Raw genomic sequence first — 3,058 nt, 5'->3', positions numbered from 1 at the left:
GACCTGTCACCCACTCGCTCCTGGCTCCCAAACCGGCTCAAGTTCAACCTCCCAGCCCTGCCTGCTGGAAGCTGGCTTCGGGGCCTTCCAGTTACTAATTAACCACTGGACCTGAATTACCAAGCTGGCTGCACACACTGGCTCCTGGATGGGCCCTGCCTGGGGGACTCTCTGAATTTTTTAAAGCACAACTTGTTATGTGACCATGGGCAACTGACTTCAGCTCCCTGAGCCTCATGTGAATTGGTGACGGATGGTGTGTCCTGCTGGAGGGACGGTTTCTGAAGTCCCTTTCAACACTGGAACTGCCGCACTCTCTCAAGGTCCAGCTTAAGTGCTGACTCCTACACAGCCTTCCCTGATTCCCTCCGCTGAGTCATCTTCCCTTTCGCTTGGAACCTAGTGAACCAGCAACTGAAAGGTTGGTCTCACACAACACCCTCCTCCACCCCTTCCCTAATGGGGGCCACCAGCCCCTATGTTCAGTCATTTCATGGAAACTTCCAGGACTGGGCAGCTCATTTCCCCCTGAGCCAGCCTCTGGCAATTTCTTGTGTTAAGCCGAAGACTGCCACCCACAGCCTACCCGACCAAGCACTGCCCTGGCACCGTTCTGGGAGAATCACAGCTGAGTTGAAACCTATGCCCCACTCTGCCCTTCAGAGATTTGAGGCTCAGGAACCAGAGATGAGTTCACCCTGGAGAACAGGGAAGGCTTTCTCGGGGGTTGACCCAAAGCTTCCCAGGCCCTGGGTTCTTTTTTTTTTTTCTTTGAGACAGAGTCTCGCTCTGTCACCCAGGCTGGAGTGCAGTGGCGTGATCTCAGCTCACTGCAAGCTCCGCCTCCCAGGTTCACGCCATTCTCCGGCCTCAACCTCCCGAGTAGCTGGGACTACAGGCGCCCACCACCACGCCCAGCTAATTTTTGTATTTTTAGTAGAGATGGGGTTTCACTGCATTAGCCAGGACGGTATCGATCTCCTGACCTTGTGATCTGCCCGCCTCGGCCTCCCAAAGTGCTGGGATTACAGGCGTGAGCCACCGCGCCTGGCCGGCCCTGGGTTCTAACTCAGGGCACAGGCAGGGCCTGGACCCCTGGACAGGTAAGGAAAGCTCTGCCCAGTGACCCCTCCTGAGCAGGCTGACTTTCACACTGCTTCCTCCATTGCCTTTCCATTAAAATGTCAACAACTTTCTGGTAATTCTGGTGCCTTAAACACCGGCTGCTCTGCTGTGCTCCGGAGGAGCCCTGCATGGCCACACACCCCACCTCCACCAACACACATAGCAGCATGTGTCTGGCCCTGGTCCAGATAGGGGAGGTAGCTGGCCCAAGTGCACAGAGCAAATCAGGGCAGCGCACAAGGTCCTGCCCTTTCCAGAGCTCCTGCTGCTGCTGCTGCTGTGCCACCAAGCTCCCTCTCCTCTGCTCTTCCAGAGCTGCTTAAAAAACCCCCAAACACGCCACATACTGGTATTGGTTGCATAAAGTGTATCAAATAATTCCAACTTACAGAAGAATGTCAAATAAAAAGTAAAAGCTTTCCCTCCAGCCCATCTTCAATCTCATTTCCAGAGGCAGCTGCTGTTAACTAAAGGGTGACAATCCGGCTGGGCGCCATGGCTAATGCCTGTAATCCCAGCACTTTGGGAGGCTGAGGTGGGTGGATCACGAGGTCAGGAGATCGAGACCATCCTGGCTAACATGGTGAAACCCCATCTCTACTAAAAATACAAAAAGTTAGCCAGGCGTGGTGGCGAGTGCCTGTAGTCCCAGCTACTCGGGAGGCTGAGGCAGGAGAATGGCATGAACCTGGGAGATGCAGCTTTCAGTGAGCCAAGATCATGCCACTGCACTCCAGCCTGGGCAGCAGAGCAAGACTCCATCTCAAAAAAAAAAAAAAAAGGGTGACAATCCTTCCAGATTTTTGTCTATGTCTTAATCTATATGTATATTAATCTTAATCTATATGTATTAATCTATATAACTGCATCCATTTTTTTTCCAGAAAATGGGCCATCAGTAATTCACTTTTTTTCATATATACATCTTTTAAGCAGCTGCACCACACTTCATAGTGTGGAGTTTTCACAACCCCTATTCCCTATTTACTGTTCCTTCTGATGGACATTTTGACTGTTAGCAGTTTCACAATATTTCCAACAAGGCTGCAGCAAACATCTCTGCTTTAATATCCTGTGGCCTTCCGCTAGTATTTCTGACAGATGAACTCCTGTTAAGTGTGAGTGCTGGGTTAATTATGAACTCTCTACCAAATGACTGTAACAAGTTGTGCCAACCAACGTGGCTAGCAGCAGTGCTGAACTTGCCCTTCCCCCCAGTGATACTGCAGGAAATAGCCAAGGTCACTCGTGCAGATATGTGTAGATAGGCCACTGCAGATATGCGTCTCCTTCCCATCTTCCTCTCTTCCTTCTTTCCCCTCCCACCCTCCCTGGCTGGACTTTGTTGTTTGGGTATGAAGGTAAAAGTCATGTTCTCAGGCATAAGGGAAAAGCAAGAGACTTAACCAATGGAAATCTACCTCCAGAAATATTCCCTTCACTTTGACATTCCTCAGCCCACTTTTCTGTCCTTAGTCTGGCTCCAGCCCTATTCCCACCCCCAGCCCCACCTGCAGATTCACCCATAGGCAAAGGGAATAACAGACACAGGGCCACCAGAGAAAAATCTATTACCCACATGGGCTAACAGACTCTTGGGCAACAGAGCTCATACATAGCCCAGATATGGGCCCCAGTTTGCCTTCTGGAAACATTTTTAGAAAGTGATAATTGTACAAAGTGTAAAATCAAATAATGAAAAAGATCAGTTCCTTGCCCCATTCCTCATCTTTTTAAGCTGCTTTCTTTGGTATTTACCTCCATGTATCTTAATAGCCTTATACTGTTATTCTTCCATTTTTCAGTTTAAAACATTTTCAAGTGGCTTCTTTCCTACTATGGAACATGAATGCTTAGATTATGCCCCTCCAAACACACATTTCAGCTTTTCCTGAATTTATAGTTGCTTCATTTGGTTTTAGAAATTGAACAT

This window comes from Homo sapiens, chromosome 20 (genome assembly GCF_000001405.40).
Source record: "Homo sapiens chromosome 20, GRCh38.p14 Primary Assembly".
Lineage (NCBI taxonomy): Eukaryota > Metazoa > Chordata > Mammalia > Primates > Hominidae > Homo > Homo sapiens.
The sequence above is the reverse complement of the archived record's forward strand: the minus strand, read 5'-3'. Positions refer to the sequence as shown.